A 24825-nucleotide genomic window follows, 5' to 3' on the forward strand; every position below is an offset into this window, starting at 1 on the left:
CACCAGCACCACCATGAAAGGTTTACATGTTGACTGGCAAAGCTTCAATCCAAGTTGGAATTATTCTTCCATAAATATATCAGTCAATGCCAGGCAAGTGAGCAGCATCATTGTAAGAATCAAAGTAGAGTTTATGTTAGTGAACAAAACTGTAGCCACCTTAAGGGCCAATGATACCAAAGTGCACTGTGCCATTGGTCACATACTCAACCATGGCTCAGTAAAGAGAAAGGCCAGAATGACACATACACTTATAAATCAGTCAAAACAGAATCCATGTAGGAATGGCCTCAAAGCTTCTCTTACCTCTGGTTTGGATCATTTTGATGACATTGCCCACATACTCATAAAGGATGACAAGATTGCACTGTGCAATGTCAATGCCTTCATCAGCAACTGAGGTGGCAATCAGAATATTGTGATCTCCACTGGCTTTGAATGCATCCAATATACACTTCTGTGCCGGGAGGGTCATTCCTGTGTCAGAGTAAGAGGGCATTATACAACTCACCAAAGAGGGAACTTCCCCCTTGAAAAAACAGCTACTAATTATGGAATGCTTATTATATGCCAAGTACTGTGATAAGTACTTTATATCCATGATCTCACAACACACCTAGGCAGTGGGATCTATTCCTATGCCTGTTTCAGAAAGGACATTTAGGGTGGCATCTAACACTCAGACTCTGCCACAAGACTGAGTTCAAATCCCAGCTCTGGGGGACTTACTAGTTGTATGGCTTTAGCCATATTATCCAAGAAATAGACATTTTTGCAGAAATATCAACACCTAATTGTAACACCTTTACATGTGTGTAAGAATTTATAGCTGACAAAACATTTTCACATCTTCTCACTCACCAGAGCATCATAAAGCCCTATAGGTCAAAGGGTAAGTGCTCTGATTCCCCTTAACAAACGAGGGTCGTGCCAGGCATGGTGGTTCACGCCTATAGTCATAACACTTTAGGAGGCCAAGGCAGGTGAATCACTTGAGCCTAGGAGTTTGAAATCAGCCTGGTTAACACAGGGAGAACCCATCTCTACAAAAAATTTAAGAATTAGCTGGGCATGGTGGCACACACCTGTAGCCCCAGCTACTCAGGAGGCTTAGGTAAGAGAATCACCTGAGCTGGGGAAGTTGAGGCTGCAGTGAGCCATGATGGCACTACTACACTCCAGCCTGGGCAAGAGAATGAGACTCTATCTTAAAAAAAAAAAAGACACAAATGAGGGGCTTGAGGTTCCAGAAGTGAGGTAAACTGACAAGCTAGCTATCAGCAGTGTTGGGCCTTGAACTTCAGTTTAAGACCCTAATAGTGTGCACTGTTGGGGTGTCTGCCTCCCCATACACAAACTAAGAATCATTTTCTGCCACACCCACCCACAATACAGTTGTATTATGTTTCTCTATGAAAGAGGCAATGCTATCTGCTCACCAATCTTGTTTCTTTCTCCTGCTAGGCACACACAGCTGAATTATATTTCGCAATCTAAACTGTCACTAATGGCATGTAGACAGAGGTCATGTGTGTCTCTTCCAAACCAGACCCCTAAAAATTGTCCATGTTCTTGTTATTTCTCATCAATGGACCAGATAAGGTCATAGTGGAGGATTTGGAGACCCCCTGTGATGACAGAGCCATAACAAGGAAGGAGCCTGGGTCCCTACAATAAGTGGAAGAGGATGGAGCAGAGCCCCCACCCCTACCTATCTACACTTGGGAGCATAAGTGAGCAGAGCCCCCACCCCTACCTATCCACATCTGTGAGTGTGAGCTATAACTTTTATTTTGCCCTGCCCCTGAGATCGTGAGGGTTGTCTGTTAGAGCAATTAGATTACACTGATTTATACACAGCCTGTTCCTGGCTGCAGCTACTGGACTGAAATAAGCATTTGAACTATGTTGGGCCAATCCAATTCTTCCCTCTTGGAATCTGAAATTGGGATTGGAGACAGGTAGTAAATCAGGAAGGTGTGGGGCAGTCATGAATGGAGAAGCAGAGACAGCAATCTGTAAAGGGAAAACTGTGAAGCAGATGTGCAGGATTCAGGATTGCAATTGTCCACAAAGCCCGAGTGCACTTCCGAACTGCGGGTTCTATGGTAGACCCAATTATCCCGGTAGCAGCCACACCCCCTTCTACTTAGACTAGCGTAAGTGGGTTTCTGTTAATCGGGGAAAAGAAAGGATCTTGACTAAGACAACCACATACTGCCTTCTAATATCCTGCGATAGTGGAGGCTAAATTTAAATTGTCTGAATACAGTGTGAAGTTTGGATGTGATAATCACCCAGTTTGTGTAATCATGGCGGACACCCAAAATGGTGGCTCAAACAATATGCGCACTTCAAACCGTGTGGATCCTAAAGACATCTACGTTTATCTATTAGTAGAATCACCTGATCTCCACTCACTGCTCACAGGGCGGACCCACCTCAGGCAGGTAGAGCAAGGTAATCCATATTACTTTCCATTACCTAGCTGGCAGTGGACTCAAGAGTTTGTGGAAAAAGATCCCTTGTGGTTTTTGAATTATTTACCATTCAAAGTCATGAAAATTCAAATGCAGGCAGCTTTATTTTCAGAAAGTTGCTTAAAAATCAATCTCTAAACATTATTTTGATTTTACTTTTGAGCTTTCTTTATCCAGAATACTTTTTTTAAAGATACATACTTTCTGTTATTTTTGAATCCATGTATTCTCAGTAAAACCAAAATCAAACAAATGATGAGCATTGTGGACCATTACATAAAAGTTCTGGATGTGAATAGTAACTAACATTTAACATACATTGAGCACTCACCACATGCCAGGCATTGTTCTAAACCAGAAGTGGGCAAACTTTTTCCATAAGGGCTAGATGTATAGTAAATACTTTAGGCTCTGTGGGTCATGCTGTCTCAGCTACCCAACACTGCCATTATAGTTGGAAAGCAGCCACAGACAATACATACATGAATGGTCATGACTGTGTTCCCCCAAAAAGTTATTTTATAGACAATGAAATTTGAATTGCACAAACCTTTCACATGTCATAAAATATTCTTTTGATTTTTTTTCAAACAAAAATCATTCTCAGCTCAAGAGTCATTCATAAGCAGGCAGTGAGCCAGATTTTGCTACTGACATTAACCCTCTCAGCTAGGTACTATTATTATTTTTCCATTTGACAGATGAAGAAAGTAAGTCATGAAGAGGTTAGGTAACCTGCTTCTTCATGAAACAGGAAATTAAGAAATGGAAATGTGGAAATATACAAATTTAGCAAACTGAACTTTTGCTTGTTTACATGCAGCTTTTTGTAAAAAAAGGTGTTCACAATTCTTCTAGCTTAACTGTGCAAGGAAGAGGATCAGACCAGAAACAAATTCAGCTAAAATTGTCTTAATTTACTGGTAAATCAAGTTTAACCCATTCGATAAAAGCTATAGAGTTCACACTGATAAACTGAGTGAAGAAAATACTTCAGTGGTCTCTACCTCAGGGTTAACAGAATTTATAGAAGCTCCAATTGGCTAGGCATGGTGTTTCACACCTGTAATCCCAGCATTTTGGGAGGTCAAGGTGGCAGATTACTTGAGGCCAGGAGTTCAAGACCAGCCTGGCCAACATGGCAAAATCCTGTCCCTACTAAAAATACAAAAATTAGCTGGGCATGGTGGTGTGCACCTGTAATCCCAGCTACTTGGGAGGCTGAGGCATGAGAATCACTTGAAACTGGAAGGTTGCAGTGAGCTGAGTTCGTGCCACTGCACTCTAGCCTGGAAAACAGAGCAAGACTCTGTCTCAAAAATAAAATAAAATAAATAAAAGTTCCAATTTTTTCCTAATATATTTCCAGCCCAAATCTTGAGATATATTTTGCTAAGGCCAAAACAATTTCTTTTCACCATCATCATCTACTAAACAATGAGCATCTCTGGAACAGACATCATACGTGATTAATTTCTTAGTTTATTCATCTATTCAGTCAAACATTTATTCAGCAATTATGGCTTGTCAGATAAAAATAATGATTAAAAGGTCCATTTTTATCCACAAGGAGCTCACATTTTGTAGAAGAAAAATATAAATAAGAAGCTATAATTGAGTATGATGAGCACAGAAAGGATGCTATGCGAATGTGGAAGAAGGAGCTCTCTACCAGTTTTTGGAGGTTGGGGAAGGCTACATGGCAGAAGCACAATGCCTGGCACAGCACAAGTTATAAATAAATGTTGTTGAATGAACGGATGAATAAATGAACAAACCAATAAGAAAATATTTCCTGAGTGTCTACTTGTGGAGGAACAACAAAGTTTGAAAATCAAGGAGGACTCATGTTGGAGTCAGATCGCAGAGAACTTTGAATCCCAACCACAAAAATATGGTGTTAGACTTCATTTGGTGAGCCACTTTTTAAGATCTGAATCTACTTTTCATATTTATGAAGTTTAAAAATGACATGAAGGGAAAGTGCGAGGGTGATAACTAGGGACTGACAGGGTGGGTATGGGAGGGTGCTTATTATAAACAACACTAAATAGGAAGACTTGTCAGTGCCAGTCACTGAGGGGTGGGGGGCACAGCTGTGAGGTGGTCAGGATGAGGGCGGGCCACCTAGGATCCTCCCAGATAATAACACAGGCAGCCTTTTATCCTTTGACCACTCTAGCTGGATTTCAGAATTGTCTGCTTGGACTTTTTAAAATTGTAAAATACATAATATACACAAAAGCTATGCATATCTACTGCTTAAAGAATAACAATAAAACAGAAATAGAACATTTCTATTTCTAGACAATCTTAATCTATTGGTTGAAAATTTGAGCAGGATGATAATGCGTGCAAGCATGACTTAAAAAACAACCCTGGCTTTGTCTGCAGGACATATGAGAGGAGGCAATGTCTACAAGGAAAGAGCCTGGAGTGGTTTTTGGCATTTGAGCATTGTGATGGCTTTTTGATGCATTAACTTGGCTAGGCCAAACAACAGTTCCCAGTAATTCATCTAGGTACTGCTCTGAAGAGATTTTACCGATGGGATTCAAGTCCCTAATCAGTTGACTTTAAGTCAGATCAAAAGAGAGTTCACTCCAGGTGGGCCTGGCCTAATCAGGTGAGCCTTTTAAAAGACGGCTTAGGCCTTCTCCAAAGTCAGAGACTCCAAACAGCTCATGTCTGGGGGGTTCCAGTCTGTTCCTGATAGTCTCTTCCTGACTACCTGCCCTACACGCTTCAGACTTGCTTTGCCAGCCCAATTGTGTAAAATTCCTTGCAAGAAATCTCTGTATATATGCATATGTGGACACATATACAACACACACCTCTCATATATATGTATAATCACCTACTGCTTTTGCTTCTGTGGTTAAACCTTGACTGATAGAAGCATTAAAACAGAACTTGAAATATATATTAAAACAGAATTTGAAATATATATTATATATATACACACACACATATACATACACACACACACATATTCTTAAATGCATAATCCACTAAATCTAATTCACTATATATAAATACCTGTGTTCTGATTTGTTTTGCCACGTCCAGTCAATATGCCAGGTTTTAGAAAACTGAGTTTAGGATTTCCTTCAATCCAATTTTTTAAAGCCTGAAAATGAAAAGCAATTATCAATTGGACACTCCTTATAAATCATTTGTATTAATTCAATATTGAAATACATGCAAAAAGAAAAAAATTTAAAGTTAGTACACGTACAGTTTTCAGACTGACAAACCTGAGAAAAAAAGCATTTTGGAATTGAACTCTATGTAATAATTAACTAAAATGGCATAGATCTCTGTAACCTGATATGGTTTAATCTCTAAGACTTTTTTTTTTTTTTTTTTTGAGATGGAGTCTTGGTCTACCGCCTAGGCTGGAGTGCAGTGGCACGATCTTCGCTCACTGCAACCTCCGCCTCCCAGGTTCAAGCAATTCTTTGCCTCAGCCTCCCGAGTAGCTGGGATTACAGGCATCAGCAACCATGCATGGCTAATTTTTGTATTTTTAGTAGAGACAGGATTTCATCATGTTGGCCAGGCTGGTCTTGAATTCCTGACCTCGTGATCCACCCACCTCATCCTCCCAAAGTGCTGGGATTACAGGCATGAGCCACCGCACCTGGCCATCTCTAAGACATTTTTAAAAGAAAAAACAAAAGTTCAAAAATAGTGGGTATGTAGAATAAGTGAGTTTAGCATGATCACAGGACAGGAGATCAATATACATAATTCAACTGAATTTCTACATACTAGCAACAAACTATTGGAATTTCAAAAGTTTTTAAGTACTGGACACAGTGGCTCACACTTATAATCCCAGCATTTTGGGAGGCCGAGGCAGGAGAGTCACTTGAGCCCAGGAGTTCAAGACCAACCTCGGCAACATGGCAAAAGCCTGTCTCTACTAAAAATACAAAAATTAGCTGGGCATGGTGGCACACACCTGTAGTCTCAGCTACTCAGGAAGCTGAGGCAAGAGAATCGCTTGAACCGGGGAGGCATAGGTTGCAGTGAGCCGAGGTTGTGCCACTGCACTCCGGCCTGGGTGACAGACCGAGACTCCGTCTCAAAATTAAATAAATAAAAATAAAAATTAGCTGGGTGTGGTGGTTTACACCTGCAGTCCCAGCTACTGGGGAGGCTGAGATGGGAGAATCACCTGAGCTAGGGAAGTTGAGGCTGCAGTGAGCTGTGATCACACTAGTGTACTCCAACCTGGGCAATGAGAGTGAGACCCTGTCTCAAAAAAAAAAAAAAAAAAAAAAGGTTTTAAAGTACCATTTATAATAGCATCAAAAAATTAATACCTAGGTATAAGTCTAACAAAATATGTGCAGAATCTGCTGAAAATGACAAAACACTGATAAAAGAAACCAAAGAACATCTGGTTAGTCTACCTCTAAGGTAGCCCTCAATGATCTCCACCTTCTGTATTCAGATCCTCATGTAATCCCCTCCCCTGAGTGTGAAGGGGACTTACTGACTTGCTTCTAATGAATAAAATACAACAGATGCAATGTGGCATCATTTCCAAGATGAAGTTATGACTGTGGCTTCCAAATTAGACACCCTCTATCTCAATCTCTGGGATCACTCTCTCTAGGGGAAGCCATCTGCTGGTCTGTGAGATGGACCTGTGGAGAGGCCCACATGAGTGAACTCAGAGGCTCTTCAGCCAACAGCCATATGAGAGGAGTTTGGAAGTTAACCTTCCCCAGTCAAGCCATGGCCAGCACCTTCACTGCAGCCTCATGAGAGATCTTCAGCCGGAAACACCCAGTTAAATTGTTTCCAGATTCATGGCTCACAGATATTGTAAGATAATAGATGTTTGTTGTTTCCAGACACTCAGTTTTAGGGTAATTGTTCCTCAGCATTATATAACTAATACGGAAGCCATATATAAATAAAGAGATATACTATGGTCATGGATTAGAACACTCAATATTGTCAAGATGTCATTCCTCCCCAATTTTATCTTTATGTATTTTTAAAAATATTTTATTTTTTCAAGACCAAGTCTCACTCCATCACTCGGCTGGAGAGCAGTGGTGCAATCTCAGCTCACCGCAGCCTTCACCTCCCAGGTTCAAGTGATTCTCCTGCCTCAGTCTCCCAAGTATCTGTGATTACAGGTGCAAGCCACCACGCTAGGCTAATTTTTGTATTTTTAGTAGAGACAGGGTTTCACCATGTTGGCCAGGCTGATGTCAAACTCCTGACTTCAAGTGATCCGCCCGCCTCAGCCTCCCAAAGTGCTGGGATTACAGGTGTGAGCCACCATGCCCAGCCTCAGTTTTGTGTTCAGATTCAATAAAATCCCAGCAGATTTTTTCATAGATGTGGACCAGCTGCCTCTAAAATGTATATAGAAAGGCAAAGGAACATAGCTAAAAACAACCTTTAAAAAAAAAATTGGAGGACTCACATCACCCCATGTCAAGACTTACTATCAAGCTACAGTGATCAAGACAGCATGGAATGGGTGAAGAGGTGTATGTATGGATCAATAAACAAAACAGAGAATCCAGAAACAGATCCATGCAAATATAGTCAACTGATGTTTTCAGAAGTTACAAAGGCAATTCAGTGAAGAAAGGATAGTCTTGTCAACATAGAGAACTGGAACAACTGAATGTCCATACACAAAAAGAAAAAAAAAAGAAAGCATCTCAACCAATACCTCACGCCTTATACAAAATTAATTTAAAATTGACTGTAGACCTAAATGTAAAATGTAAAGCTGTAACGCTTCTAGATGATAACATAGTGAAAATCCTTGTGACCTTAGGTAAGCAAAGGATTTTTAGAGATAATACCACCACAGGCAAAAACCCATAAAAGAAAAAACTGATATACTGAACTTTGTCAAAACTTAAAACTTTCCATCTGCAAAAGATACTGTCAAGAGAATAAGCAGACAAGCCACAGACCAGAAGAAAATATCTGCAAATCACATTTCTGACAGAGGACTTTTTTGTCAGACTATAAAAAGAATTCTCAAAAACTCAATCAGATGATATACCAATCTTTTCAAAAGATTGGTTTTCAAAGATCTGAACAGACACCTCACCAAGGCAGTTACAGATCGCTAACAAGCAGAAGAAAGATGTTCAGCCATATTACTCATTAGTGAAATGAAAATTAAAACTCTAATGAGGTATCATTACCTACTCACAAAATGACTAAAATTTAAAAAGTAAAAAAAGGAAGAAATGCTTGCTCTACAAGTATCAATACTTACAATTAGAGTGACTAACATAGTGACAGCATGAAGCCAGGTTCCAAAACTTTGAGAGGGCAAGGTGGGAGGATTATGTGAGGCCAGGAATTCAAGACCAGTCTAGGCAACATAACAAGACCCCACCTCTACAAAAATAAATAAACAAATTAGCTGGGCATGGTGGCAGATGACTGTAGTCCCACGCATGGTGGCAGAGGGTGATGAGGTGGGAGAATCGCTTGAGTTTGAGAGGTTGAGGGTGCAGAGAGCCATGACTGCACCACTGCATTCCAGCCTAGGTGACAGAGTGAGACCCCGTCTCTAAGTGGGGGAAAAAAAAACAACACAGTGAGGCATTAGAGTATTAGTATAAGGATAAACATATAATCAGAACAGAATAGAGAAACTCAGAACAGACTCACACATACACATATATGGTTTCTTGACCGTAGAGAGAAAACGGCTTTTTTTTTTTTTTTAGACACAGGTTCTACCTCTGTTGCTCAGGCTGGAGTGCAGAGTACGCTGTCATGATCACTGCAGCCTCAATCAATCCTCTAGCCTTAGCCTCCCAAGTAACTGGAACTACAGGTGCACAGCACCAGCTAATTTTTCTTTTTTAAGAGATGAGGTCTCACTATGTTGCCCAGGCAGGTCTTGAACTCTTGGCCCCAAGCAATTCTCCTGCCTTGATTTCCCAAACTTCTGGGATTACAGGCGTGAGACACCATACCCAGCCCAATCTTTTCAATGAATAGTGCTGGGTCCATTTGTTATCTACAAGGAGAAAAAAAGCTTACGTCCACAAGTGCTCTGGTTTTCACAAAGAGAATTGTTATTGTCTCTGGGTTTAAGTGGTACTCTTCTTGTAAGATGAAGCAGAGGTCTTCAAGTTTAGGATTCTCATTGCTGGGATCCCTGGAAACACTTTCTAGTTCCTGCAGCTTTTCTGCAAATGGGAAACATTTTATAAATGGCTTATAAATTCTAAAAATTTAGAACACACTGTGACCTTTAGCTATCGTTCAAACAGCTGATCTCTAAATCTTTGACCAGAATTTTATGAGTAGTAAGTACTGTTTTAAATTGGTACAACCTTTTAAGAGGTAATTTGGCAATATATATCAAAACATAATACACACACATCTTTTGATCCAATAATTCTACATCTAAGAATTTGAGACACAGTTATATTTAGAAAATTATGGAAGAGGTCTCCAAGGATTTCACTGTACCACTGTTCAGGGTGTAAAAGAAAAACAGAAAACCTAAGTACCCAACAATAGGGAAACAGTTCAAAAGATCATGGGCTATGCATCTGATGTTAATACAATGTGGCTGTGAAAATTAATAAGGGAGCTATGTACATGATATATATGATACCAAAAATATTTTAAGGTTAAAAAAATCAAGGTAAGGACAGTATGTTCAGTATTATCCCATCTTTAAAAATATAGTCAGGCCGGGTGTGGTGGCTCACACCTGTAATCCCAGCACTTTGGGAGGCTGAGATGGGTGGATCACCTGAGGTCAGGGGTTCAAGACCAGACTGGTCAACATGCTGAAACCCCATCTCTACTTAAAATACAAAAATTAGCCAGGCGTGGTGATGGGCGCCTATAATCCCAGCTCCTCAGGAGGATGAGGCAGGAGAATCACTTGAACCTGGGAAGCAGGGGTTACAGTGAGCCAAGATCTCACCACTGCACTACAGCCTGGGAAAGAGAATGATACTCTGTCTCAAAAAAAAGGAAAAAGAAAAAAAATACATATAGTTATAAAACAGGGGTGTGTTACAGCCAGATCATACCGGACTATGGGACTATGGGAGTCAACTGTTGTGGTTTCTGTTTTATCGGTTTTTGTTTTTGTTTTTTTTCCTGAGATGGAGTCTCCTGGCACTCAGGCTGGAGTGCAGTGGTGCGCTCTTGGCTCACTGCAACCTCTGCTTTCTGAGTTCAAGCGATTCTTCTGCCTCAGCCTCTCAAGTAACTGGGATTACAGGTGCGTGCCACCATATCTGGCTAATATTTTGTATCTTTAGTAGAGATGGGGTTTCACCATGTTGGCCAGGCTGGTCTTGAACTCCTGACCTCAGGTGGCCCACCCATCTCAGCCTCCCAAAGTGCTGGCACTACAGGTGTGAGCCACCATGCCTGGCCAATTGTTAAATTTTATTACTTTTTACAATTATCTACGCTTTTGAGGTTAGTTACACCTATTGTTATCTATATGGTAGAAATACTATAGAATGATGTGCTGCTGCTCATCTCTTTTTAACACTAGTTCAATGACATCATGTTGGTAGCCTGGAATTCACTACAGTGGGAGCAGTTATACCATGGAAATCAAGAAAACACAAAAAATCAGTGCTTTATTGATTGACTGATTGATTGAGATAAGGACTCACTCTACCACCCAAGCTGGGGTCCAGTGGTGCAATCTCGGCTCACTGCAACGTCTGCCTTCCAGGCTCAGGTGATCCTCCCACCTCAGCCTCCCAAGGAGCTGGGACCACAGGAGCATACCACTATGCTCAGCTAATTTTTGTATTTTTTGTAGAGATGGGGTTTCGCCATGCTGCCCAGACTGATCTCCAGCTCCTGAGCTCAAGTAATCCACCCACCTCAGCCTCCCAAAGTGCCATGGTGACAAGTGTGAGCCACCATGCCCGGCTTAATTTATGTTGAGAGTTTAGACTTATGAACATGATCAAAAAATAATAATACAGATTAAATTTAGCTATTACATTGAATAGCACAAAATATTGAGAAACATTCTCCCAGTTTTTGAAAAACTATTATACAGTTCAGCAAAAAATTGCTTGCATCACTGGCAAACGAGTGAAGTTCCAACATACACCTTTGTTGTTTCATCTTTATCTTCTAACATTAATGAAACTATATACCAACAACCATATCAGAAAGAACCACACTTCTTTGTCATTGCAACCCTTGGTTGGCCATGGATACAAAAAATCTGCAAAAACCACCAAAAGCATTCTATGAGAACCAATTGGCTATGTGGAATTTACAATAAAGAATAGTTTATTTTTATTTATAAATTGTGGTTTGTATAACTCCTCTATATCAATAAAATAATAAGCTTATGTACATATATATGCATACATTTTTTCTCTAGTGGGTTGTTAAATATTAACCAGCACAGCACTGGTTACACATATGTACAGTAAATACTTAGGTAGAGGCCAAAAAAACCCCAAAATTATTAGCACTAATTACCTTTGGGAAAGAATTCAAAACAGGGAGAAGGAAAACTTTTTTTTGTTTGTTTAATATCTATTTTTTAATCATATGCAGGCAGTGAGATTATGTGCCATTTTGGTTTCCTCTTTATGTAAAAATATATATAGGCCAGGCACAGTGGCTCATGCCTGTAATTCCAGCATTTTGGGAGGCAGAGACGGGTGGATCACTTGAGGTCAGGAGTTTGAGACCAATCTGGCCAACATGGCAAAACTCCATCTCTACTAAAAATACAAAAATTAGCCGGGTGTGGTGGCGCACACCTGCAGTCCTGGCTACTCGGGAGGCTGAGACATGAGAATTGCCTGAATCCGGGAGGCAGAGGTTGCAGTGAGCCATGATTGAGCCACTGCACTTGACCCTGGGCGACAAAGCAAGACTCCATCTCAAAAAAAAAAAAAAAGTATACATAAATTATGGTTTTTTTAATATCGTTAAAACACTTTTTCATATTTTTAAAGCTTTATAAAATTACTAAAAAAGAACGTTAAACAAAAAGAATGCTACTGTCTGTGAACCATATGGGAAACACCCTTTGCAAATCTTGTTTTTCCTTCTTCTAAATAGGGAATGGTATAAGCAACAGACTCTTCCCATAGGTACTAGATTTCATTGAAGCTAAATAGTCCTACCATCTCCATCTTCCTACATCCAGGACAACTCCCTAAGCATCCCCAAGTTTATATATATTAAATGCAATACATGTTTGTTTTGCCATTCCAGTCACCAAGAATGCTACTGTGGCTTCCTCCTCTGAAAACACCACTCACCTTCAAATCTCTGAGTAAGATCTTGCTCAATCTCATCGAATCCTGCTGCTCGGACATTGCTGAAGAAGTCTTTCAAGTAATCCAGAGCATCTTTCATTCGTGCATGCTCACTGATAATGAGGGCATCATTATATTTCTGTTGAAAGTAAAAACTGTCTCAATATGCTTCCAATGTCTAACACATTCACTGTATTTAAGTTCAATTCGTTGTATTTAACGAATTGTTTTAAGAAAACTTTTCTTTTCAAATCTATTCCAACTTAGCTTTTTAAAGATGAATGGCCTCTAACAGTTATGTAACAAAATCTTTGAACCAAATACTGTTAAAAGAAAACTCAATTAGCTAGTAACATTAATTATCATCACTTTGGATTATTGAATTTTACCTTAGAAAAGAAAAACTGCACGAAAAACACATATCAAAATTTAAAAATAAGGAAAGTAAATCAACTTCCACATCAACCTGCCTCATAATTCCAACATTTCACTTGATTTCTATATACATCTGAAGCCATCACTAAATTGTCAGTGTACCTTCCAAAATGATGGCCCTGACCACATCCATCAAATGTACAACTAAGCTAACTAAAATTCTACAAATGCATGCTAATTGAATGCATTTTAATATATTTTCAATGGCTGGATAAGCAGAGGTGATAGCTGTCACTATAGTTCCTTAACTTCTTGGTGAGCCAGAGAACCTGGATTTCTGAGCATGGGGCGTCACCAAAGGTGAAGAAATGTGTGCTTCAGGACATAGCAACAGAACTTTCCACTTGCTGAGCTTTCAAGATGCTGTCACTGGACTGGTCTTGTATCTGGAATAATGTTCTCTCACAATCACCCAATTTTTTCCAACCATGTCAGTTAATGCTAGAGGCATGGCATAGAATCTGAGCCTTTATTTCAGTCCTGTTGCCTGCAGTATGAAATTTCAGAAAGGAAATCGAGATGATGTTGAATGGGACAACTTTTGGAGTTTGCTTCATAAGAACTTTCTGGAAAGGTTCCTAAGTGAGCTCTTGAGGACAGGATGAGAAGTTGATGTTATCTTGGCTTCCACGGTGCCACTCCCAGTAGGTGCTGTGACCAGAATACGACTCTTAAAAAGAGGAACGTACCCGCAAATGTGAAGTGTATAAAAACAGGGCTTTACAAATCCTGCTCTCTTCATCTTTGTCTGGCATCTGGAACACCATGCATGCTTTCTGAACTGTAACAATCCATTGTTCATATTTCTGTGTTCCAAATTCCCTATTTTGAATTTGAGATAAGTTTTCTGTTAAAAAAAAAAAAAAAAGTTTTTCACTGTCTCATATGGTCAGTCATTTAGGGTTATAAACAGGCCTCACCCTCTAATTTTCTTTTTCTTTTTTTTTTTCCTCGAGGCAGAGTCTCGCTCTGATGCCCAGGCTGTAGTACAATGGCACGATCTTGGCTCACCGCAACCTCCACCTCCCGGATTCAAGCGATTCTCCTGCCTCAGCCTGCTAAGTAGCTGAGACTACAGGCGTGTGCCATCACGCCTGGCTAATTTTTGTATTTTTAGTAGAGACAGGGTTTCACCATGTTGTCAAGCTGGTTTCAAACTCCTGACCTCAGGTGATCCGCCTGCCTCGGTCTCCCAAAGTGCTGGGATTACAGGCGTGAGCCACTGCACCTGGCCTAATTTTCTTTCTTACTCTCTGCAAACAGGATATTCCTCCTGAAATAGTCTTAAGTCATCTAGTTAAAACTATTTAACTGGATTCAGACTGGTGAAAAGGTGGAAGCAGGGTACCTGAGGTGGGAGGAGTAAGAAAATAGAAACTCATGTGACTCCATCACCATCTCTCCATCCTTCTGCTCCTTCCCCCATTGAGATAACACCACTGTGCTGCTGGATAATATGACAACCTCCAAACTGTTCTCCCTACCTCTTGCCTTGTTCCCTCCCTTGAGTTTTAAGCAGTGCATCTGTGTGTTTGTTTGTGTGTGTGTGTGTGTGTGTGTGTGTGTTTGATTGTTTCTTGAGTACTGTGTACCAAGAATCAAAGTACCTTACATTCATAATTTCATTTAATTTTCACAACCCATGAGATACATATTACATTTCATATATTGGGAAACTGAAGTTCAGAAAAGCCAAGTAATAAGTAATTTACCCATAGTCACACAGCAAGTACGTGGAGAAAGGGCAGGAATTCAAACCCACATGTGTCAGATGCCCAAGCTCTACTGGCTCTATGAGCTGACAACCAAAGCAGCCCAGAAATAAAACAGTAGACATGAAAAACCCAACTTTGCCTTTAAAAATGAAGAAGTAAAAATAACAGGTCTCAAGAGCTTCATCAGAGGAGGATATATAAAAGCAGGAGATTGGCCGGCCGCAGTGGCTCATGCCTGTAATCCCAGCACTTTGGGAGCCCCAGGCGGGTGGATCACGAGGTCAAGAGATTGAGATCACCCTGGCCAACAGGGTGAAACCCCGTTTCTACTAAAAATACAAAAATTAGCTGGGGGTGGTGGCACGCACCTGAAGTCCCAGCTACTTAGGAGACTGAGGCAGGAGAATCGCTTGAACCCAGGAGACGGAGGTTGCAGTGAACCGAGATCACGTCACTGTACTCCAGCCTGGCGACAGAGTGAGACTCTTAAAAAAAAAAAAAATCAAGGAGGAGATTTAGGACTCAGTTCACCCTATGTTCTGCTTTGCTGTGAACTTGGGCCTCCTGTTCTCCAGAGCAGCATTCTCAGGGCCAAGCATAGAATCGGCCCTCAAAAGACACTTATCACACATGCATCTGTCTGTGTGCATCTCCTAGGATAAGCCTCAGTTGCTTGGTTCAAAGCTGGGGCATCTGCTGTGGTCCAGGCTCTGTGTAGGGTGCTGGGGATAAGATGAGGAGACTATGGCTGTGTTCTCAAGCAGCTGAGTCTGTGAGTTACTCTGGTATCAGTTCGCCAGGGCTCCTCATGAAGAGCACAGTACAACAAAAGTCACAAGCAAGAGCTGTATTTCTGGGTTAAATTCTTCCCCTCACTCATTCATTTTCAATAATAGGAACAAAGGAGGCTACCCAAACAAGTAGTATTGACATGCTTCTTTCCAAGTTGCAGCTACAGCGAGGTGGCCAGCAGTAAAGAAGATGAGCCAACAGGTACTGATTGAACCTGGGTAGGTGTAAAAATAGCCTAAGCAGTTTAGAGATGAGCAGCTAACTGGATTCGGACTGGCAAAAAGGTGGAGGCAGGGTACGGGAGGTGGGAGGAGTAAGAAAATAGAAACTCACGTGACTCCATCACCGTCTCTCCATCCTTCTGCTACTTCCCCAATTCAAACCACATCAGTGTGCTGCTGGATAATATGACAATCTCCAAACTGGTCTCCCTTCCTCTTGCCTTGTTCCCTCTAACCCATACTCTACCCAGTGGTTAGAGGGAGTTTGCAAAATTGCAGATGAGAAATCATCCCACCCCACTGCTTAAAAGCCTTTAGTGGTCCTGCAGCCAAAATCCTGCCCCAGCTCACACACTCCTCCCCATGCTCTGGCCTCTGCTTGCTTTTGCTTCTCATTTCTGGCCACTCTCCTTTCAGCATTCTACAGGACTAATGGAAGTCCCTATACTCTTTCTAGTCTCCTGGCCTTTGCATATGCTATTCCCTGTGCCTGAAACACACCTTATCACCCCCACCACACCAGCTGCTTTAGTATTAGTATTACTTCTCTAATTTTGGTCTTACCATCAGACTAGAAATGCCCTGAGGCCAGGGGCTGTATCTTAGGGTTCATGCTGTATTCCCATCACCTAGCCCATTCCTTAGCACTAAATGAATGAACATATGCATGAACACATTCGGGAAACTGCTAAATCAAAAGGATTCAGGTAGGGAAGTAGTAGAATATAACATTGGAAAGATAAGTAGAACCTGGGTGTTCAGGCAGGGCTCAGACTGCAGGTTAGAGGCGTGAAGATTATCCTGTAGGCAAAGGGTTTTTAAGCAGGACAGGGACATGATAAAATGTATTCATGAAGACTAACTAGTTCATGAGAGGTTGAATGGAAGAGAGAGCAGAGGTAGGCAAAATCAGCTAGAAGGCTGTTAGAACAATTATAATAGAAATTAAACTGTGAAAGAAAAGGGGAGAGAAAAGCAAAATAAGTGTGAGAGGAGACACTCCATGAGGTGTCTTACAGACGTCACATTTAACATCCCTAAAACTCAAAACTCAAAACCTTGTACCTGCCAAGGCTGCTTCTAGTCCTGGTACCAGGACCACCCACTGGCATTCATAGAGGTGCCTAAGCCAGATGCCTGGGGGGAAATCAGCCCCTCCTGCCCCTTTCTCATCCCCACCCAAATCCGTTTAGCCATTCAATCATAACACTCACAGTTGGAAGCATCTCACATGTGTCTCCTTCCTTCTCCAATCCATCTCTACTGCCTCTCTTTGGTCCTTCTCATTCACTGGTATCTTTATTACGTCACTAATCAGTTTTAATCTTCACTTTTTTCCCCATTGTTTTTAGGATAAAATTCAAATCCAGGCCCTTCACTGTCTTCCCCTGGCCCATCTCTAGTCGCACTCCTTTAATGCTGGGAAATGTGCTGGGTGATTGTCCCTAGATATAAATCTGAGCCAGTAGAGGAATGGTGGTTTCATTCAGGTGAACAGGAAAGTCAGGAGGGAAAGCTGATTTAGAAGGTAGAGAAAGCAATGAACTGACTTAAGTATGGTTATTTTTCAGGTGCATGTGTCTGGATGAACTTACTTTGGATTTAAAAGGAAAAAAAGGAAGAAAGAAAGAATAGAGGAGGACATATAAGGCTCCTAAATAACCTATAATCAAGGAAGACAACCTCTGGATATGGTCTTGACATTGTCTGAACTAAGGAGAACACAAAAAGACGATAGTGAACAATAAATGGCTATTCCCCAGTAGAGAGAACACAAAATATGAGATTTATCTCACCGAGGTCTTTGCAGATTCTCTTTGCCAGACTCTCTGTGTCCCTCATCAGCTGAGCTATGATGTATTTAAATTTGTCGCTAATCCGTGATTCCACTTTCCTGAAAACTAGAGACGTCAAAAAAAAAAGAAAAAGAAAAAAAGAGTGAGTATATTTTCAGGAAGGACAGATTGTAGTTCAAAGTAGGTATCTCTAAAACCTTTCTCTGCCTTTGATACTTCCTCTGAAAAACCTAAGGTTCCAGGCTAACTGGCAGGTGGTCCAGATGATACAACAAATGCTCAAAATGCAATGGCTCCCTGTTGCTTCTTGTACTGATTCTAACACCTGTCTTTCATGGTGTAGGTCTAACTAGCTTCTTTTTTTTTTTTTTTTTTTTTTTGATTGAGACCAAGTCTCACTGTGTCACCCAGGCTGGAGTACAGTGGCGCGATCTCGGCTCACTGCAACCTCCGTCTCCCAGGTTCAAGTGATTCTTCTGCCTCAGCCTCCCAAGTAGCTGGGACAACAGGCGCACACCACCATGCCCAGCTAATTTTTGTATTTTTAGTAGAGACGGGGCTTCACCATATTGGCCAGGCTGGTCTCGAACTCCTGAGCTGGTGACCCACCCGCCTTGGCCTCCCAAAGTGCTGGGATTACAAGCGTGATCCACCGCACCCGGCCTAACCAGCTTCTTACTGTGGCTGTCCTGTTACCTCCTCTCTGATGAGGCGGGCATCTCTCATGTCTCTGCAAGTGCCACAATCTAACCCTGTCTCTGTGCTTTGATATTCTCCCTCCCCACACAGCTCCCAGCAGTATTCACACTGATCCTACCATTTATCAATATATTATTTCAGCCTAATTATTAATTGCCTGCAATGTGCCATGCTTTGATTATAGACAGTTGAAAGAACACACTTCATGCTCCATACAGGGCTGTGATCTTAAGGGAGAGAAATATACATGGCTAACTAACCGTAGCAGTTCTCTAACAGAAGTACATGTAAAGTGTAGCCGGGTGTGGTGGCTCACACCTGTAATCCTAACACTTTGGGAGGCCGAGGAGGGTGGATCACTTGAGGTCAGGAATTCAAGACCAGCCTGGCCAACATGGTGAAACCCTGTCTGTACTAAAAATACAAAAAATTAGCCAGGCGTGATGGCACACGCTTGTAATTCCAGCTACTCAGGAGACTGAGGCAGGAGAATCACTTGAACCCAGGAGGTGGAGGTTTGCAGTGAGCCGAGATCGCACCACTGCACTCCAGCCTGGGCAACAGCACGAGACTCTGTCTCAAAAAAAAAAAAAAAAAAAAGAAGTAGTACACGCAAAGTGTCACAAAACACAGGGAAAGTAACACCTAATTCTTCCAGGGAAGTCAGAGTTGTAGAATAAATACAGGAAGAAGAAAGAAGAAAGCAAGAGTAGTCATGTATATTCCATCACAACTTGGCAAAGAAAAAGAAAAAAAAAAAAGAGCAGTGATGTACAAAGGAAGCACAGACAAAAGGTGGGAGAGAGAAAGCACACGGCATGATTGAGGAGCCCAGAGGAATGCAACATGGTTGGGTTTATGAATGTTTGGAGGTGATGAAGCTCAGAGGGCAGGAGGAACCGGATTGTAAAGAAATTCATATGTGACACTGAAAAGTTGGGATCAGGTACATCAAAATCCTTACTTACAAGCAGCCTTCAAAAAGGAACTTATCTACACCACTCCCTATTACATGTCTATTTGTTCTACCTCAGAAATACAGTCACATACTACTCAGAGAGCAAGGGTGAAGTCATATATATTTTCTGTATCCCTCTCTTCCTTTCAGGGTTAGTGTAATAATAACATCAATAAACAACTGTTAGTCATATTAAAAAATCATATCTGATCTTTGGAGGAGTGACATCATGAATTCAGATCATTCCATTTCAACTAAAATGATCAAATACATATTCAAACAGTGATGACCACACAGGCACAGAGCATGGGAAAAGGCTGAGTGAGCCCAGCTCTTGGCTATCTGATGCCTAAATTCTCTCATCACCTCTTTTGCATTGCTAGTACATTTATAAGAGGTTTTTGGAAGCAAAGAGGAAGAATGTTTGCTCTCTACAGGCCACTTCTGAGGTTCATCCATTGCTTGGGATGAGAGCTCAGTTAGAGAGGCTAAAAAATGTGACTGTTACTCAAGTTCAAGGTTAAATATTTTCTACTAAACAGAGAGAGGGTCAAAGTTCAGTATTCGTCTAGATGGCTCTGAACTAGAGGTAGTAGAGAGTAACAGAATCTCAAAGGCTTGTTATTGGATCCAACTTACACTTCTGGGGCTTATAAACAACTTGCTCCAGTTCCTCCAGATTGTGTTTGACTGTTGCTATCACTGACGCATCAAGAGAAGCACACAGCTTGCAGATATAATCCAAGGCTTCATCTGTGTTTTTGGCATCCCCAACACCAACCGAGGCAGTCAGCCCAATGACCTGTAAGGAGCATTCAAAATCATTAGATGTCTGAGAAATGGTACAATGTTTCCACAACCCCTCATATAACTCTTTCCTGCTGGGGTAGGGCGTTTTTTTGTTTTTACTAACACACAGTGTATGGCACATGGAGGCACATAATGCATATTTACTAAGTGAACAAATGAATAAAGGAAACAAAATTCATAATGAGTTGTACAATATGGACTTGGGACCTGAGAAGGACATCTTCAGTGTGGCCATAAGAGTAAGAAAATAGGAGTTAGGAAGATTATAGCTCTTCTGAAGCATTCGTCTGACTTTGGAGATACCTGGGGCAGTGGGCCTGAAGATCCTCCAAGTTTCTGATCTAGATAATTAAACATGATCATATTGTACGGGTGTTGTTTACTAGTGTTGTGGCATTCATCAAATATCATCAAAGTAAAGATGGATAGTGATGGAATCGTTCCCTTTTTAAGGTTGTTCACAAGAATCTGTGGAGTTAAAATGATGATGTCATTGTTCTCAACAATCTGTTCCACTGGGACATTCTCAGCTGTTGCTCCAGAAATGCCTGTAACTCTATACCTGGGAAATGACAGAAATTCCATATTACTAACCACGATGTGGATAAGGAACCACAAAGATGAAATGCTAGATCAGAACATCAACTGATTAAATTCTCCCTGAGTCCAAAAGAAGAATAGCTGTAGGCAAGTCCTTAGCACAGAGCCTGACACATAGTAAGAGATCAATAAATCCAAGCTAGTTGTAATTTATAGTACTATATATTATTTTAAGTCACTAAGAGAGAAAAGAGTACGTAAAAGAATAATATCAAATAAATTATAAAATCACTAAAGAAGTTAAATGTGCCACGTAAACATCAAATTTATTCCTGAAGTCATTTACTCCCCATAGAAGGGCAAACCAGGGGAGTTTAAGTTTTCTGGTACATCTAACAAAAAAGACTTGAATCCATGAAGGGATAACATCTGGATTATAAAAAAGCTGAATCTAATATAAATTTTTTTAAATCATTTGTCAAAAACAAAACAGAAAACACATCAATTACATGAAGCTGGAGAAAAAGAAGTTGAAGCAACTATTATACCTACCCATGTCTTTCAAAGTATTTTGAGAATACAGATTTCTGCTGTTCATACACTGGGATCTGATTCGCAAAAAAGACAACTTTCCCCTTTTGTCCTTGTGGGAATTTTTTAAGATGATGTTCACATATAAGCAGTGAAACAAAGGTTTTTCCACAACCTTTTAACATGTAAGGAAAAAAGAAAACATGTAACTCATATATTAGATATTTCTCTGGAAAGGTGTTTATTTTTGGCTCTTCTAATACCACTGAGCTGACTAATTAATTGATAATTTAAATATGTTAATGATTACAGAATTTACACTATGACTAAAAAATATCAAGCTGCTCCCTAAGTAGCATGCCAACAGCCAGGACCCAAAAGCAAGCTAAAAGAGGACACTTTTCTTTACCTTCTCATGAAAGGTAAAGAAAATACATTAAATACATTAATGTACATAATTAATTAATTACATAATCCCATAAAAAACATTAGGATTATATTAGGACAGTTTTCTCAAAAGACACATGGAACAAGGAAAAAACTGAAACTTGCCCATTCTGTCCCAGTATTCAACAAAAGAAAAAAAAGGAAGCAAACAGAAAAACTATGTAAGTAATGGCAATAGGCTTACCTGTAGGAGCACATATTATTGTGTTTTTTCCTTTCATAGCAGGCAAAGCAAGCTCTAATTGGTAATTTCTTGGTTTAAATGGGCTGTACAAGTTTGTATCAGACACTTCTGGAATACAAAAGGAGCAAAATTACCAAACAGTTCCTGCTCTGAGGAATCACGGCAATAGCTACAGTCTAATGTCCACAAATTCTGACTCCAGCAAGAAGATCCTCATTGGAGAAAGTTTAGAATCCTTTCTCTTGGTAACCATTCTAGCTTTTCCACTAATTTGAAGTACAGAATTCTCTCAGTGACAAAGTATTGATGGCAAGAAAGAAAAAAAAAAAAACATGAATTATTTTTTATACAATCATGGAAGGCTAACAGAAACCAAAGAAAGAATGGCCCCATTCAGGGTAAGACAAGCTGTCTACTAAAGGCAATGCTGTATGTGAAAAAAGCAACAAATCCTCCCACGATCTTTGAAGAAAACCAAACTGTTAACATTGGATTCTCAAAGCAATTTCTTATTAAGGAGCAATAATGCTTTGTCGTTCTTCAAGTTCTCAAATGATATTTTCTCTCAACATAACCAGAAGTTTTAAAAAATAATCAAAGGCTTTATCTCAATAACAGGTAGGCATATAAATCATTAAGAGCTAGCAAAGACTTTGGAAATTATCTACTGAGTCTAACCTACCCATTTTAGAGAAAGGGAGAATTTCTAAAAGGTTAAGTGAATTAAACTCACACGAAAGACATGTAAAGGCCAGGTGCAGTGGCTCATGCCTGTAATCCCAGCACTTGGGAGGCTGAGGTGGATGGATCACTTGAGGTCAGGAGTTCAAGAACAGCCTGGCCGACATGCTGAAATCCCCACCTCTCCAAAAAAAATACAAAAATTAACCAGATGTGGTGGCACATGCCTGTGGTCCCAGCTACTTGGGAGACTGAGGCAGGAGAATCACTTGAACCCAAGGTTGCAGTGAGCTGAGATTGTGCCACTGCACGCCAGCCTGAGCAACAGAGCGAGAGACTCAGTCTCAAAAAACAATAACAACAACAACAACAAAAGGCATGCAAGAATCTTCACGTGTCAGAAAATTTAAAGCAACTCATATTCATGTATCTGTTTTTTTTTTCCAAGGGGTAACAGATTTTATTCTGAAATGACCAAAAAAACAAAACAAAACAAAAAAACTTGTAACATTCAGTTGCAGACGTAATCTGCACATTTTCTCTTTATGATGTTATTCTAATATCATTTTTCTTCTACCACCACTATTAATCCCAATTTCCTTCCTGATACTCTTTTATACATAACTTTTTATTATGGCATATTATGCAACTTGCCGGTCTCATAAAACCATCAAGAAAATATGCTTTGAGAAGCATAAGGGGGCCTCACAGGGCCACAGCTAACTTATACAGTGCCTTTGTGTAAATGACAAAAGGGAGCTCCTCTTGGAGGACACAGCCCCTCAGTGCACTGTGTTGCAAACGACACAGGCTGGATCTCAGCCCCTACTCAACCTCTCAGCCAGGCGCATTTGGGTAGCACACTAACTTCATCAACTTGCAGGGCAGCCCAGGGATCCTAAAAGGAAATTGAGCAAGTGACTCAGAAATAGAAGTAGTATTTATTTAGAAAGCAAGGTTGATTTGGGAATTCATAGACATTGGGTTTTGGTGAAGACTCTATTTGCATTTCCAATATAGACACGCCCATACTTTCTTAGTGGTAGAAGAAGAAAAAAAAGATAGTAAAAGAAGAAAAAAAGATAGTGGAAGAACTAGGAGAGAATGGCATTCTAAATATAGAAAAAGTATCTATTGTAACATAAATTCTCTTTACTTTCTTAATTTTCCTTACAAAACTTTTCACAAGGCTGTGACTTTGGGTACTGCAAAACAAGCCCCCACACCAAATACCAGAAGAGCACCATTATGGAAAAGGACAAACAATACCAGGTACCTGAAGGTGGACATGAATTCTCACTAAGATTCTGGCATTCTGGATCTTCTTGGTAGAAAATCTGTATGTCAGAAGTTTCCATCTTATCCTCAAGATCTTCTGTTTCAACATCTTTTATACCTTTTTAAGACCAAAAAAGTCTTAGAATCTTCACATAATCTGATTATAGTTTTGATGGTGAAAGCTCCACAAAATGGTCATAACACTAAGATTTTTAACTTCTATTAAAATTTCTCACAACCACTCCCCTTCACCTTTTAAAACAGTTGAAAGAATCATTTTGAGTTTAAAATCTCAATTTGGCGTTGACCTCCAATGTAATTTAGAGCTATATTACTCAAAGTGTGGAACGTATTGCCCTACTGAATCAGAATCCACATTTTAACAAGACCTCGGAGGGATTCGTATGCACCAAAAAAAAAAAAAAAAAAAAAGAGCATGATTTAGCAGACATTCATGTCTTCCTTTTCTGACTGACTCTTGACCCATTAAATCAGATGTGTATTTATACAGTTTCTGAAACAACTTATGATCTAAAGAAGCCTAGGAAAGCTAAGACCAGATATTCAGATGTTTACCAAACTCAGCCTTTGAAACAATGCTGAGTGTCAGCTTCAAGAAACCAAATGATAGTTCAGACACTTAATGACAACCAATTCTTTCACCCGTCGGATTCAGTTCCAGATGGCTTCCAGTAAGAGAACCAGGCAATGTCTGTCAAGAAATCAACTCTGAAAAGGGGGTAAGTCCTGGAGTTTGAACCTTTAACTCTAGAATTCTCAAGCTATTTCTCTGATAATCTAAACTTAGACTGAGAGTTCGGATTTTGCCTTCCTCAAATCCTTTGGGCCAGATGGGCTAATTCTGGATGAGAGTGGTTTTCCCCAGTCCATTTTTAGGGGTTATATGCAACCAAACTAATTTTGTAGGCAAGTAACTGCCTCCCTCCCAGAATCCAGCTTCCTGCTGGTCTCGCGTTA

At 40.4% G+C, this 24825-nt stretch overlaps 1 protein-coding gene and 1 long non-coding RNA gene across 9 annotated transcripts in view; one reads left to right on the plus strand and one right to left on the minus strand.

Annotated features, from left to right (window-relative positions):
* Positions 1-24825, minus strand: part of RIGI (RNA sensor RIG-I) — a 70895-nt gene that overhangs the window by 12154 nt on the left and 33916 nt on the right. For 4 of the 7 annotated variants that reach the window (NM_001385912.1, NM_001385913.1, NM_014314.4 and 1 more), the window contains 11 exons: positions 23846-23965; positions 21889-21996; positions 21279-21432; positions 20490-20748; positions 20016-20178; positions 17720-17824; positions 13885-14042; positions 12764-12899; positions 9528-9676; positions 5520-5610; positions 307-477 (listed from right to left, as the gene is read on the minus strand). In NM_001385912.1, coding sequence (NP_001372841.1) covers positions 307-477; positions 5520-5610; positions 9528-9676; positions 12764-12899; positions 13885-14042; positions 17720-17824; positions 20016-20178; positions 20490-20748; positions 21279-21432; positions 21889-21996; positions 23846-23927 — 1576 coding nt within the window. In that variant the 5' untranslated portion in view covers positions 23928-23965. The remainder of the gene's footprint in view (positions 1-306; positions 478-5519; positions 5611-9527; positions 9677-12763; positions 12900-13884; positions 14043-17719; positions 17825-20015; positions 20179-20489; positions 20749-21278; positions 21433-21888; positions 21997-23845; positions 23966-24825) is intronic. The other 3 variants (NM_001385907.1, NM_001385914.1, NM_001385909.1) reach the window with 3 other exon arrangements.
* Positions 1160-17688, plus strand: LOC124902138 (uncharacterized). 2 transcript variants are annotated; one of them, XR_007061449.1, is made up of 2 exons: positions 1160-1733; positions 12717-17688. It is a non-coding gene; the product is annotated as an uncharacterized LOC124902138 (long non-coding RNA). The 2 variants fall into 2 exon arrangements; XR_007061450.1 differs by lacking the exon at positions 1160-1733 and adding an exon at positions 10695-10731.

Source organism: Homo sapiens, chromosome 9 (assembly GCF_000001405.40).
Source record: "Homo sapiens chromosome 9, GRCh38.p14 Primary Assembly".
In the NCBI taxonomy this organism is placed as follows: domain Eukaryota; kingdom Metazoa; phylum Chordata; class Mammalia; order Primates; family Hominidae; genus Homo; species Homo sapiens.